This window comes from Homo sapiens, chromosome 14, assembly GCF_000001405.40.
Source record: "Homo sapiens chromosome 14, GRCh38.p14 Primary Assembly".
NCBI lineage: Eukaryota > Metazoa > Chordata > Mammalia > Primates > Hominidae > Homo > Homo sapiens.
The window spans coordinates 20,648,678-20,662,550 of record NC_000014.9 but is presented as its reverse complement, the minus strand read 5'-3'; the positions used below and the strand labels follow the sequence as shown (position 1 = coordinate 20,662,550).

General features: G+C 47.0%; 1 long non-coding RNA gene and 3 other non-coding genes across 5 annotated transcripts, besides 1 other annotated feature; 3 read left to right on the top strand and 1 right to left on the bottom strand.

Annotated features, from left to right (window-relative positions):
- Nucleotides 1-137: 137 nt before the first annotated feature.
- LOC124903281 (uncharacterized) lies at nt 138-9,239 on the bottom strand. Of its 2 annotated transcripts, XR_007064060.1 has the most exons (3): nt 9,061-9,129; nt 4,683-4,846; nt 3,822-4,189 (listed from the first exon to the last, which is right to left on the bottom strand). It is a non-coding gene; the product is annotated as an uncharacterized LOC124903281 (long non-coding RNA). The 2 variants fall into 2 exon arrangements; XR_007064059.1 differs by having other exon boundaries at nt 138-4,846; nt 9,061-9,239.
- Nucleotides 910-1,129: a silencer, noted in NCBI's record as "fragment chr14:21129581-21129800 (GRCh37/hg19 assembly coordinates)". NCBI's record gives its function as "represses an EF-1alpha promoter that drives an FKBP-Casp9 reporter gene in an ReSE screen in both phorbol 12-myristate 13-acetate-treated (for megakaryocytic differentiation) and untreated K562 erythroleukemia cells {active_cell/tissue: K562 | K562(+PMA)}" and the evidence as "EXISTENCE:reporter gene assay evidence [ECO:0000049][PMID:32094911]".
- On the top strand, nt 2,500-2,593 carry TRY-GTA7-1 (tRNA-Tyr (anticodon GTA) 7-1). Its single transcript has 2 exons — nt 2,500-2,536; nt 2,558-2,593. It is a non-coding gene; the product is annotated as a tRNA-Tyr (tRNA).
- Nucleotides 4,994-5,087, top strand: TRY-GTA4-1 (tRNA-Tyr (anticodon GTA) 4-1). The gene is made up of 2 exons: nt 4,994-5,030; nt 5,052-5,087. It is a non-coding gene; the product is annotated as a tRNA-Tyr (tRNA).
- A 119-nt stretch (nt 9,240-9,358) lies between the features above and the next one.
- On the top strand, nt 9,359-9,452 carry TRY-GTA5-3 (tRNA-Tyr (anticodon GTA) 5-3). The gene is made up of 2 exons: nt 9,359-9,395; nt 9,417-9,452. It is a non-coding gene; the product is annotated as a tRNA-Tyr (tRNA).
- Nucleotides 9,453-13,873: the final 4,421 nt, after the last annotated feature.

Sequence of the window (13,873 nt, the reverse complement as noted above, 5' to 3'; positions counted from 1 at the left end):
TTTGTTTTGTCTATTTGTGGGAGAGAGTTGCCGCCCTGAGATTTTCTTAATAAATAGGGCTTCCACTGGCTCCATAATATTTTCCTTCAGGTTGAGAACAAAAATGTGCCCCCTTCCCACATACACCAAGCCTCACATTTCCCGAGCCTTCGCACCTTTTAATGTTGCTACAGTAAACTTTGGGCTCCTGCTGGAAGAAGAAAGATACCTTCCACTCAGTTCAAAGTCTGCAAAAACACCTATACCAAGTGTCTTACTGGTTGTGAAGGTGTGAGAGAGGGAAAGAGAGTATAAAAGGGCAGACTTGGAAAGAACTTCAGTGACCCGGGAGGGTTGGGGGCTGTTGGGTCCCTGGCAGGGAGCAGAATTGAAGCTTGGGTGGCAGCTGCCACCTTGCAGAGGTACACAAGTTCACCTCCTTAGGCCACTGGCTTGTTGCATCTGAGCAGCATGCTCACTTTTATGTGGGGGCTCTGCAGGCACAGCTGGAAGGTTGCGCCTTCTACAAGAGGAAGATGGCTGGCACAATCTGAGAGCATGAAGCAGGAAATGGGCTTGGCTTTCACCAACTGGGCTTCACCTCTGGGAAGATGAAGTGGGTTCATCAAAGTATGAGCCAGAGAGGAACCACAATGAGTGTCCCCTGGTCCCATCCTATGCTCTGGGGAAAAAAAAAAAAATCTTCAGACGCTTGATATACAGATGAAAATTATCACAGAGAGCACTGCAAGCAAAACAGTGATGGAAATTTGGTTCTCAGAGGCCTTCTGGGAACCCGGTGACCACTCTCCCCTACCCGATGGGCATAACTGCTTTTTCACTCTGCGTCTCAAACTAGAGAGTACACATGTCTTCCCCTCCTAGAAAGCAGATCCTGTTCTCCCCCTACGGCCTATTCCCTACCTCTTCTCTGTTGTATCAGCCTTTCCTGCTTCCCACTGCTGATGGAAAGGGGCAGAGCTGTGGACTCACCAGTGCCCCAGCAACATTCTGTAGCTCTGCAGCCCCAGAGAGATCCCAGCCTCGAATGACATTGCTGCAGAGATCAGCAAACAGAAACCAAAGTAGAACCTTTGGTCTATACTGGATATGTCCTTGATAAGATGTGGCGGTACCAGGTTTTTTGGAACCTAGGCTTGGTGCTTTGAGGGAAAAAACAGAGGTGGGCCATTGAGTGGTGTTTGGTCATCAGCAAAAGTGTGGGTGATCCCTGACCATGACTTTTCCCCTATAAACTCAATAAAGGGTGGGTCTTTTGGGTTCAGCTTGCTGTGCCACCAGTAACTGTCTCACTGTTTGTGTGGGTGATGAGTGGTCTTGGGATAGTGGACACACACCATATGGGATATGAACCCTTTGTAACAATTTGTGGCCTAGGTAAGGGGTCCAAAGCTCACCTGGTTTCCTCTATCAGCCCCCTTTTCTTTCCAGGGGCCCCTACTTTAGAAAGCAGCAGCCTCTGGGAAAGGATTCTTGGTCAGTAGCAGAGGACTGGATCGAAGCTTTTATGCTGGCCTTTGGGGTTAGAGGTAATGGGTATCACATGGTGATCTGCGAGCCCCTGGCCCTACTCTCTCCCCACATATCTTTTTTTTTTTTTTTTTAAATTGTCTCTGTCGCCCAGGCTGGAGTGCAGTGGCAAGATCACAGCTTACTGTAGCCTCGAACACCCGGGCTCAGATGATCCTCCCACCTCAGCCTGCTGAGTGGCCAGGACCACAGGTGCAGGCCACCACACCCGGATACTTTTTAGAAGTTTTTCTGTAGAGATGGCTTCTCCCTATGTTGCCCAGGCTGATCTCGAACTCCTGCGCTCAAGCGCCCCTTTCGCCTCGGCCCGCTAAATTGTTGGAATTGCGGTGCGAGCCACCATACCTGGCCTCCACCTATCCTCCTGCATTTCCTCCCTCTCTTCCCATTATGCCTCAATACTCCAAAAAGTGAGCATAGGACACTGGGTAGAAGGGCCGCGCACATCGAGAGGAGTGTGTTTGAGGTGGTGGGAAGTAGAGGACAGGCTGTTAGGGCAGTGCCCCCTTATGGTCTTCCATCAGACCCTGACGCTAGGCTGGGGTTGGAAGCTGCTTACACCACGCCCATGCTGGTTCTCCTCTTTTCCTCCTCCAGTGTCCTCTCCTCCACTGGACCCACCCATCAGTCTCACCAAGCCCTCTGCCCTCGCCGTCTTACCTCATTTTCCCTCTGGCCACTAAGGGCTGTCATCTTCACAAGCAGAAAGAGCGATGCAGAGGGAGAGGAAGGCCACAGGTGAGAGCTCCTCCTCGTGGATCGTGGCTATCGGCGCCCCAGAGACGCCAGGCACCCCCCCGGGCCCAGAGGATTTGCTCTGTCCGGAAAGGGGCGCAGTGGAGACCGGCGCAGAGTTCTCTTCCAAGTCGGGTTCCAATTAACTCAACGAGTATTGGATCTCCGGTGGTCCAGGGACTTGGCTTCCTCCATTTGCAGAAAGTCCAGTGACCCAGCCTTAACAGTGTGCATCCTTCGATAGCTCAGCTGGTAGAGCGGAGGACTGTAGACTGCGGAAACGTTTGTGGACATCCTTAGGTCGCTGGTTCAATTCCGGCTCGAAGGAAGCGCCTGACTCTTTTGCGCACAATGCTGCCTGGCTGCACCTGTTCCTCGTCAAAGACCTTGCAGCCTTCCAGTCATAACTACACTTTCCCCAGGAAAACCCAGCAAAATCCTGCCTTTCCTGATCACAGGCCTGGGAGCCTATTCATTCTTCCCGAATCCTCATAGTCTTCAGCTCAAAACAGTGCCCCTTGCCTTGTGACCCAGCCAGACCCCAATTCGTGCCCCCACCATCCTACGCCTTTCCACTTGTATTTACAAACTGCCCACCCATCCCCCTGTCCCAGACCCGTCAAGCTTCATCTTTCCTGAGCTTTCACAAGTTTTTATGTTGCTACAGCCAAGTTTGGCTACTGCTGGAAAAGTAAGGATATCTAATACTCAGTTCAAAGTCTGCAAAAACACCTGCACCAAGTGCCCTGCCTACTTGGGAGGGTAAGGGAAAGGGAAAGCGAGTACCAAAGAAGTGCAGACTTCAAAACAGCTTCAGTGATCCTGGAGAGTTAGGGGCTATTGGGTCCATGGCAGGGAGCAGACGTAAAGCTTGAGTGACAGCTGCCTTTATACAGAGGCACGTGGATTTGCCTCCTTAGACAGGCCACTGCCTCGTGGGTCTAAGCAGTTCGGAGCGTTTGCTCTGGGACCTAGAGGCACAGTTGGGTTCTCCTACTCCCAAGAAAAATGTGCTGAGGCCCAGTCAGAGAGAATGGAGTCAGAAATGGACTGGGCTTTATCAATCAAGTGAAGCTTCAACTCTGGGGAGTTGGAGTGGGTTTGGTGGATATGTGGCAGAGAAGAAAGCCAATGAGCATCCTTTGGTCTCATCACATAATCTTGGAAAAAGCTTCCCGATGTTTGATGTAAAGATGCAACCTATCAGAGAGTACTCCAAACTGAATGGCCCAGGAAAGCATGGCCTTCTGAAGCCTGCTTAGGACTGGCTTGCCCCATCTACTACCTGCTGGGTCCACATGAACTGTTTAATTGTGCCTCTCAAACTGGATACTGCACATATTACTGCACATATCTTTTTCACATGGAAAGCAGCTCCTGGTATCCCGCCACCGCCTATTCTCCCCCACGTCACCCCGACTGTGTCAACCTTTCTTCTTTGGTGTCACCAGTGCTCTGGGATGCTTCTATGGCTCTGGAGGCACAGAGAGACCCCAGCTCCAATGACACCAAAGGCAAAGACCAGCTAACAAAGAGGGACCAAAGGTAGCACCTCAGGCCTTCATTGGATATATTCCTGATGGGGCGTGGAGTCACCAGAGCCCTTGGAACCTTTGCTCAGTGCTTTGGGGAAAAACCAGAGGTGAGCCAACAAATGGGTTTGGTGGCTGGCACAAGTGAAGGTGAGCCCAGGTGCCCACTCTTCCCAGCTGTGCCATGGCAGAGAGTAGCAGGATGTCTGTGAGGATCTGATCCTCACTCTCGGAGATCCACACCCACTTGCCATAAGACAGGAAGTGGACATAAACTCAATGGAGGCTAGGTCCCGTGGGTGTGGCTTCCTGTCCTCCTCTAGGTGTTCTGCTGCAGAGAGGGTGCCTCAGTGGTCTCGGAGTGGTGGGCACACACCAGATGGGATCTGAAACTTTTGTCAAAGATGTGGGTTCAGGATAAGGAGTCCAAAGCTCACACTTCTGTCCTCTACCTGGCTTCTTGTTTTTCAAAGAAACCCACAGAACTTTGCCCTACTTCAGAAATCAGCAGCTTCTGATTGGAATTCTCAGCCTGTTTGCAGAAGAGGGTATCTCACATGTGCCTCTGCAAGCCTGGGAGAGATTTCCTCACCTCACTTCCCAGTGCACCTCAATGCACCAAAATGTGAGCATAGACTACTATGAGGAGAAGGGCGGGGCACCTGGGGAGGAGGGCCCTGTGTGTGTGGTAGGGGAGGGAGTAGAGAGGCCAGACTATTATGGAAGCGCCCATTAGAGACCTGCACCAGACTCTGAGGTTGGGTTGGAGTTGTCAGCTGCCTATCCAGCGCCCATTAGGGTTCTCCTCTTTTCCTCCTCCAGCGTTCTCTCCCCGACTAGACCCACCCAACCACCTCGCCAATCCCTGTGCCCTCGCTGACTCACCTTCTCATTTTCTCTCAGGCCACTGGGGGCTGTCATCCTCACCTGTAGAAAGGTGGATGCTCAGGGAGAGGAAGGCTGTCACAGATGAGAGCTCCTCCTCGTGGATGGTGGCTATCAGAGCCCGAGAGACACCAGGCATCCTCGCCCAGAGGATTTGCTCCGCCCTGAAAGGGGTGTGGTGTCAAGCGGCGCAGGGTTCTCTTCCAAGGTGGGTGCCAACCAACCCAACGCGTATTGGACCTCAAGCATTCCAGGGATGTGGCTCCCTCTGTTTGCAGAAAGTCCAATGAACCAGCTTTGATAGCATGCATCCTTCGATAGCTCAGCTGGTAGAGCGGAGGACTGTAGATTGTATAGACATTTGCGGACATCCTTAGGTCGCTGGTTCGATTCCAGCTCGAAGGAAGTGCGTGATGCTTTTGGTTAAAAGCCCTGCAGCTTCCAAGTAGTAACCACACTCTCCCGGGCAAAACACCCACGAAGTCTTTCCTGATCACCTAGCTTCCCACGCCTTGCTTCTACTTTGTGACCCCACTAATCCCTCTATTCATGCTGACCACTACTTCCCCACCCTGTGCTCCTTCGCTTTTCTTCACAGACTGCTCTCGAGCTTGAGCATCTCCACTGGCTGTGACAAAACCGCTGTGCTCACCTTTGACAGAGCTCTCCTGACCAGGTGGGCAAAGCCTGGAAGGTCAAGTTCCCTGGAGAACGTCAAGCTTACTTGACAAGGGTGTAAAGTGGGGATAACCGTGGTATCTTCCGTGAAAACTCACCCTCTCACTCTCATCCATCTCAGGCTCTTTATCACTGCATTGAGATCTGACAGTCTCATGTTTGTCTCTGTCTCATTCTCTTTCTCTCTTTCACCGTTTCTCTGTCTCTGTATATTTCTCTTTGTCTCTGTGTCTCTGCCTCCCTATCTCTCTTCCCTGAGCCCTCAGCCTGCCCCTCTCATTCTCCTTGGCTGGAAATGTATAGACCTATACAGGCGTAAAGAAAATGTTCATTCCCACTTTGCTGTGTCTACTTTGGGGAGACAGCTGTCACCCTGAGAATTTCCTAATCCTAAGAACTTCCATTAGCAAGGTCAGGTTGCCCTTTAGGTTGAGGACAAGGTGAGTCTATCCCCTATCCCCATAGCTTTTCCCAAATCCCTCAAGCCTCACTTTTTCTGAGCCTTCACAACTTTTCATGCTGCTACAGCGGAGTTTGGCCCCTGCTAGAAAAGAAAGGACCTAATATTCAGTTCAAAGCCAGCAAAAACACCTGTGTTGAGTGCCCTGCTACTTGAGAGGGTAAGGGAGATGGAAGGGGAGTACAAAAGTGCAGGCTGGAAAAGAGCTTCAGTGATCCTGGAGAGTTAGAGGCTGTTGGGTCCATGGCAGGGAGCAGAAGTAAAGCTTGAGTGACAGCTGTCATTATACAGAGGCACACGAATTCGCTGCCTTAGGCCACTGCCTGGTGGGTCTGAGCAGTTTGGAGCTTTGGGACTAGAGGCACAGTTGGACTCTACCCTCACCCCAAAGGAAAAAGTGCTGAGGCCTAATCAGAGAGAATGAAGTAGGAAATGGACTTAGGTTTTCTCCAACGAACAGGGGTTACACCTCCAGGGAGATGGAGTGGGTTCTGTGGGTATGGGGCAGAGAAGAAAGCCAACAAGCGTTCCTTGGTCTCATCTCACCATCTCAGAAAAAATCTCCAGAGATTTGATGCGCACATGCAACCTATCACAGAGAGCACTCCAAGCCAAATGGCCCATGGGAACGTGGCCCTCTGAAACCCTCTGGGGACTGGGACACCTGCCTCCACTACCTGCTGTGGCCACAAGAGCTGTTTCATTGCAGGTCTCAAACTGAAGACTACACAGGTCTTTCTTGGGAAGCAGCTCCTGATCTCCCTCCACCTCCCTATTTCCCCCAATGTTCCCCTGGCTTTGTCAGCCTTTCCTGCTTCTCATTGCTAACAGAAGGAGGCCAAGCTGTGGCATCGCCAGTGCCCAGGATGATTCTATGGCTTTGGAGCCACAGAGAGATCCCTGCCTCCAATGACACCAAAGGCAGAGGCTAGCGAACACAGACGAAATGTAGTACCTTTGTCCCTTATTGGATAAGTTCATGATGGGATATAGAGACCCCCAGGTTCTTCGGAACCTCTGTTTAGTGTTTTGGTGGGAAAATCAGAGGTGAGCCAGTGAATGGGCTTTGGTGGCCAGCACAAGCAAGGTTGAAACCTGGGTACCAACTCTTCCTGTTTGAGCCATGACAGAGTAGCTGGGTTCTGTGAGCATCTGACCCTTGCCCTCAGAGATCCAGACCCACTTGCCATAAGACAGGGAGTGGACTTAAACTCAATGGTGGCCAGGTTCCTTGGATGTGGCTTGCTGCACCTCCAGTAGGTGTTCAGCTGGGGGGTGGGTGTCCCAGTGGTCTTGGGGTAGTGGTGTTGCGGGAAGTCAGGGACCCCAAACAGAGGGACCGGCTGAAGCCATGAGAGAAGAATGTGGATTGTGAAGATTTTATGGACATTTATTAGTTCCCCAAATTAATACTTTTGTAATTTCTTGTGCCTGTCTTTACTGCAATCTCTAAACATAAATTGTAAAGATTTCATGGACACTTATCACTTCCCCAATCAATACCCTTGTGATTTCCTATGCCTCTCTTTACTTTAATCTCTTAATCCTGTCAGTTGAGGAGGATGTATATTGTCTCAGGACCCTGTAATAATTGCGTTAAGTACACAAATTGTACAGCATGTGTGTTTGAGCAATATGAAATGTGGGCACCCTGAAAAAAGAACAGTATAACAGCAATGTTCAGGGAATAAGAGAGATAACCTTAAACTCTGACCGCCGGTGAGCCGGGGGGAACAGAGCCATATTTCTCTTCTTTCAAAAGCAAACGGGAGAAATATCGCTGAATTCCTTTTCTCAGCATGGAACGTCCCTGAGAAAGAGAATGCGCACCTAGGGGTAGGTCTCTGAACTGGCCCCCCCCGGGGCGTACCTGTCTCTTATGGTCGAGATTGCAGAGGTGAAATAAACTCCAGTCTCCCATAGCACTCCCAGGCTTATTAGGAAGAGGAAATTCCCGCCTAATAAACTTTGGTCAGACCGGTTGATCTCAAAACCCTGTCTCCTGATAAGATGTTATCAATGACAATGGTGCCAAAACTTCATTAGCAATTTTAATTTCACTTCGGTCCTGTGGTCCTGTGATCTCGCCCTGTCTCCACTTGCCTTGTGATATTCTATTACCCTGTTAAGTACTTGATGTCTGTCACCGACACCTATTCGTATCTCCCTCCCCTTTTGAAACTCCCTAATAAAAACTTGCTGGTTTTTGTGGCTTGTGGGGCATCACGGATCCTACCAATGTGTGATGTCTCCCCCGGATGCCCAGCTTTAAAATTTCTCTCTTTTGTACTCTGTCCTTTTATTTCTCAAGCCAGTCGATGCTTAGGAAAATAGAAAAGAACCTACATGATTATCGGGGCAGGTCCCCCGATATAGTGACACACACCAGATAAGATCTGAAACATTGTCAAACACATGGGGTCAGGGTAAGCAGTCCAACACTGACACTTCTGTCTTCTACTTCACCCATCCCCTATTTTTTTTTTTTTTTTTTAGACAGGGTCTCTTCTGTCACCCAGGCTAGAATTCAGGGGCATAATCATAGCTCACTGTAGCCTTGAACTCCTGGCCTCAAGCAATCCTCCCACCTCAGCCTCCCAAGTAGCTGGGACTACAAGCTTGTGCTACCACACCCAGCTAATTTTTGTAATTTTTGTAAAGATAAGGTTTTGCCGTGTTGCTCAGGCTGGTCCTTGCCCCTTTGCTTTTTCAGAGCCCACAGAGCCTTGTCCTACTTCTAGAAGTTGCAAGTGGCAAAATATTTCTGATTGGTTTGCAGAGGAGGGAAGCCAACCACCAGATTGGCCCCGAGGGAGGAGGGGTATTACATGTGCCTCTGCAATCCCTGGGAGGGGTCTCCTCACCTAATTCTATTTGTTCTTTCCCTCACTTCCCAGTACACCTCAACGGGCCAATACGTGAACTTAGGATACTGTAGGTAGAAGGCAGAAAGCGCATCGGGAGGAAGAACGGGGGTGGGGGATGAGGGGGTGGGAGAGCAGTGGAAGGTGTAGGGAGGTCAGAGTGTTAGGGAAGGGCCTCATTACCGGCCACCACCAGACCCTGCGGCTCGGCTGGGGTTGGAAGCCTTCTACCAGTGTCCATTCCAGGTCTCCTCCTTTCTCCTCCAGCAACCCTTCCCTCACCGGACCCCCGCACCCTGCATCCACCTCGCCAACCCCTCTGCCTCTCACCCTCTCACTTTTTTTTTTTTTTGCCACTGAGGTCTGTCATCCTCACCTGTAGAAAGGGGGATGCACAGGAGGAAGAAGATAGCAAGTGAGAGCACACTCCCACCACTACCCCCACGCCCCCTACCCGGCTCGCCCCTCATGGGTCGTTGTTATCGATGCCGGGGAAAGCCAGTCAACCACAGCCAGAGGATTTTGTTCCGCCGCAAAAGGAGCGCGGTGGCGATCGGCGCAGGATTATCTCTCTAAGGCGAGTTCCAACCAACTTAAAGCTTATTGGACGACTAGAGTTGCAAGGAGTCTTGCATTTGCTGAAAGATCAATGACCCAACCCCAGAAACGTGCGCCCTTCGATAGCTCAGCTGGTAGAGCGGAGGACTGTAGCCTGTAGAAACATTTGTGGACATCCTTAGGTCGCTGGTTCGATTCCGGCTCGAAGGAGCTGCCGTATTCTTTTGCACACGCACGCACCAAAACTACGTGGCTGCATCTCTGCCTGGTCAAAGGCTTTGCCAGCCAGCATCCACACTCTCCCAGGAGAAACCTAGCAAGGCCTTTCCGGATTACCCAGCTTCCCACAGCCTATGCTGTGGCCTTGGGAGTCTGCTCATTCTTCAAGTCATTGCTTTCTCTACTATCTTCAAATTTTTTATATAATCTGGGATTTTTATCTCCAAGTCATTGATTTTTATGGCCATTAGGTGACACTATAACTGATATTCTTATGAAACTAGATGAAATATTTGAATAACATGTTAGAAAATTGAATTCATGTATATTAAAACAATGTCTTAACAATTATTTACATTTACATATAAGTTCTATTTCTTTCCTTGCTCATAAATTTTTTGCATCTCACTGTTTTGTGATTTTATTTTTTATTTTCAGGAGTTCAACCTTGAGCAATTCCTTTAGAATGCATCCATGGATCTTAATGAAGATATAAGTTCTAGAACACCCCCCAACCAAGTGCCCTCAATGTAAACTCTCTTTTGACTGCTATTTATGCTGAAAATAGAATTGGAGGTATTATGGGCTGAACTGTGTCTTTACAAAATTTAATATGCTAAAGCCCCAATCACCATACACCAGAATGTGACTATAGGATAGCACCTTTAACATGGTGATTAAGTTAGAGGCTGTTAGGGTGTGCCATAATCCAATCTGACTAATACCCTTATAAGAAGAAAAAAATCTGGACACAGAGAGACACCAGAGATGTATGCAAATAAAGGATGAACTGTGTAAGGACAGAGAGAGAAGGTAGCCATCTGCAAGCCAAAGAGAGGTCTCAGAAACCAGTAGCTTGATCTTGGGCTTCAAACCTCTAGAATTGTAAGAAAATGAATTCCTGTTGTTAAAGCTACCCTGTCTGTGGTATTTTATGATGTTAGCCCTAGAAAACCAATATACTAGGCTCAAAATCATTTTCCCTCTTACTCCTGAAGATAACTGACATTGTTCTTGTTACACAGAGTTTTCATTGATGATGAAACTGATTTTTCTTATTTTATAGATAATTTTTTTTCTTTTACATTTCAGGAAGCATTTAAGCTTTTGTCTTTATTCTTGGACTTTGGAGACATCACCAAGGTGTATATAGTTGTGGGTATTTTTATGTTTAATACTGTTCACTGCATGGTCTCCCAAATTTCAGAAGTGTCTTTCTTTAGTTCAGAAAACTTATTTATTCTTTCTTTATTTTATCTCCTCCATTTTTGTTATTTTCTGAAGTTCCTTTTAGATATATGTTGAGCATCCTGGATTTAACTTCCATGTCTCTTAATATTTCTCTCATATATTTCATCTCTTAGTTCTATATTCTAGAAGATTGTCTTCAGCCAAGCCTCTTATATACGGTTATGTGTCACTTAACAACAAGGATATGGTTTAAGAAATGCATCATCAGGCGATTTCATTATTGTGCAAACATAGTGGAGTATACTTACACAAACTAAGGTGGTATAGTCTACTACACAGCTAGTCTATATGGTGTAGCTTATTACTTCTAGGCTATAAACCCATACAGCATGTTACTATACTGAATATTATAGGCAATTGTAAAACGATGTTAAGTATTTGTGTGTATCTAAACATAGAAAAGCCACAGATAAAAAATGGGGCCGGGCGCAGTGGCTTACACCTGTAATCCCAGCACTTTGGGAGGTCAAGGCAGGCAGATAAGCTGAGGTCAGAAGTTGGAGACCAGCCTGACCAACATGGAGAAACCCTGTCTCTACTAAAAACACAAAAATTAGTCAGGCATGGTGGTGCATGCCTGTAATCCCAGCTACTCGAGGGGCTGAGGCAGGAGAATCACTTGAACCCAGAGGCAGAGGTTGTGGTGAGCTGAGATCATGCCGTTGCACTCCAGCCTGGGCAACGAGCAAAACTCTGTCTCAAAAAAAAAAAAAGTTTATTTAATTTTTTTCTTCAATAATAAATTGCCTTGGTTTATTATAACTTTTTCTTTATAAACTTTTTAATTTTTAAAGCTTTTTTACTCTTTTGTAATAGCACTTAGCTTAAAACACACACTGTATATTTATACAAAAATATTTTCTTTATGTCCTTATTCTATAAACTTTTTTATTTAAAATTTTTTTATTTTATTTTACTTTTTAAGCTTTTTTGTTAAAAAACTAAGACACACACGTTAGCCTAGACCCTCACAGGGTCAAGATTGTCAATATCACTATATCACTGTCTTTCACCTCCATATCTTGCCCCACTGGTAGGTTTTTTGTTTGTTTGTTTGTTTTGGTTTTTTTTTTTTTTTTTTTTTTGAGACCAAGTTTTGCTCTTGTTGCCCAGGCTGGAGTGCAATGGCATGATCTCAGCTCACTGCAACCTCAGCCTCCCGAGTTCAAGTGATTCTCCTGCCTCAGCCTCCCGAGTAGCTGGGATTACAGGTATGCGCCATCAAGCCAGGCTAATTTTGTATTTTTAGTAGAGATGGGGTTTCTCTATGTTGGTCAGGCTGGTCTCGAACTCCTGACCTCAGGTGATCTGCCCACCTTGGCCACCCAAAGTTCTGGGATTACAGGGGTGAGCCACCGTGCCTGGCCACCACTGGTAGGTCTTTGGGGGCAATAAGACGCATGGAAGTGTTATCTCCTATGAGAACAATGCTTTCTGAAATACCTCCTGAAGGACCTGCCTGAGACTATTTTACAGTTAACATTTTAAAAATATATAAGTAGAAAAAGTGCACTCTAAAATAAACAAAAAATATGGTATAGTAAATACTAGGCAATAGGAATTTTTCAACTCCATTATAATCTTATGGGACCACTGTTGTAAACGCAGTTTGTCATTGATGGAAACATTGTTACGCAGGGCATGACTATGATTGATATGTGTGTATATATTATTTTAATTTTGATGATATCATTATTAATTTAAAGAACTCTTTGGTTCTTAGAAGTTCCTTTTTCATAACATCTATTCCTGGTTTGCTCATATTTACATTATTTTATTAATATAAATTTGGAAATGTAAAGATTGTTTCCATCATTTAAGTATCTGTTTCCTCTAAGGTCACTCATTCTATTTGTTCATTTTTATCCTTCTCATTAACACTATGGTTATACTCAAGGACTGGTAGTATTTGCATGTCAATTCAAATAGATGGATTGAGGACTGTGGAGCAGATTTCTCCTGTTTGTATTTTAGACTTGTGTTTGTTTCTCTCTTTTTAAAAACTCAATTCCCGCCGGGCGCGGTGGCTCACGCCTGTAATCCCAGCACTTTGGAAGGCCGAGGCGGGCGGATCACAAGGTCAGCAGATCGAGACCATCCTGGCTAACACGGTGAAACCCCGTCTCTACTAAAAATACAAAAAATTAGCTGGGTGTGGTGGCGGGCGCCTGTGGTCCCAGCTACTTGGGAGGCTGAGGCAGGAGAATGGCGTGAAGCCGGGAGGCGGAGGTTGCAGTGAGCCAAGATTGCGCCACTGCACTCCAGCCTGGGTGACAGAGTGAGACTCCGTCTAAAAAACAAAAAAAATTCGATTCCCTCTGCTATTTTTTCCTCCTAATAGTTCCTTTGCAATAGACTGAATGGCCACGTCCCCTTAAATTCATATAATGAATTTAACCCCAATGTGATGGTATTTGGAAATGGGACCTTTGGAAAATCATTAGCATGTAAGGCTGGAGCCCTCATGAACGAAATTAGTCTTCTTATAAGAAGAGGCCACAGAGCTAGCTAGCTTTTTTTCCTCCATGTGAGGGCACAGAAAGAAGACTGCCCTCTATAAACCAGAAAGAGCCCCACCAAGAACCCCATCATGCTGGCTCTGGGATATCAAATTTCCAGCCTCTAGAATGGTGAGAAACAAATGTTTGTTGTTTACCTATTTATGGTAATTTGTTATAGCAGCCTGAACAAAGACATCCTCTTACTACGAGACTTGGTAATAGCACTCTGTCTTGTTTTCCTATGTGTTAAAAAAGAAAAAGAAAAAGGAAGAAAAGGAAAAAAGGTTAAGTTTTATATTAAAGAATTTGTCATAATGAAAAAGATAGGTTCTGAAATCTGTTAACTCAATCAAATCTCCATAGGCCCAGCACGGTAGCTCATGTCTGTGGTACCAGCATTTTGGGAGGCTGAGGCAGTGGATCACTTGAGGTCAGGAGATTGAGACCAGCCTGGCCAACATGGTGAAACCCCCTCTCTACTAAAAATACAAAAATTAGCCGGTCCTGGTGGCTCATGCCTGTAATCCCAGCTACTCACGAGGCTGAGGCAAGAGAATCGCTTGAACCCGGGAGGCGAAGGCTGCAGTGAGCCGAGATAGCGCCGCTGCACTCCAGCCTGGGTGACAGAGGGAGACTCAACCTCAAAGAAAAACAAAAAAA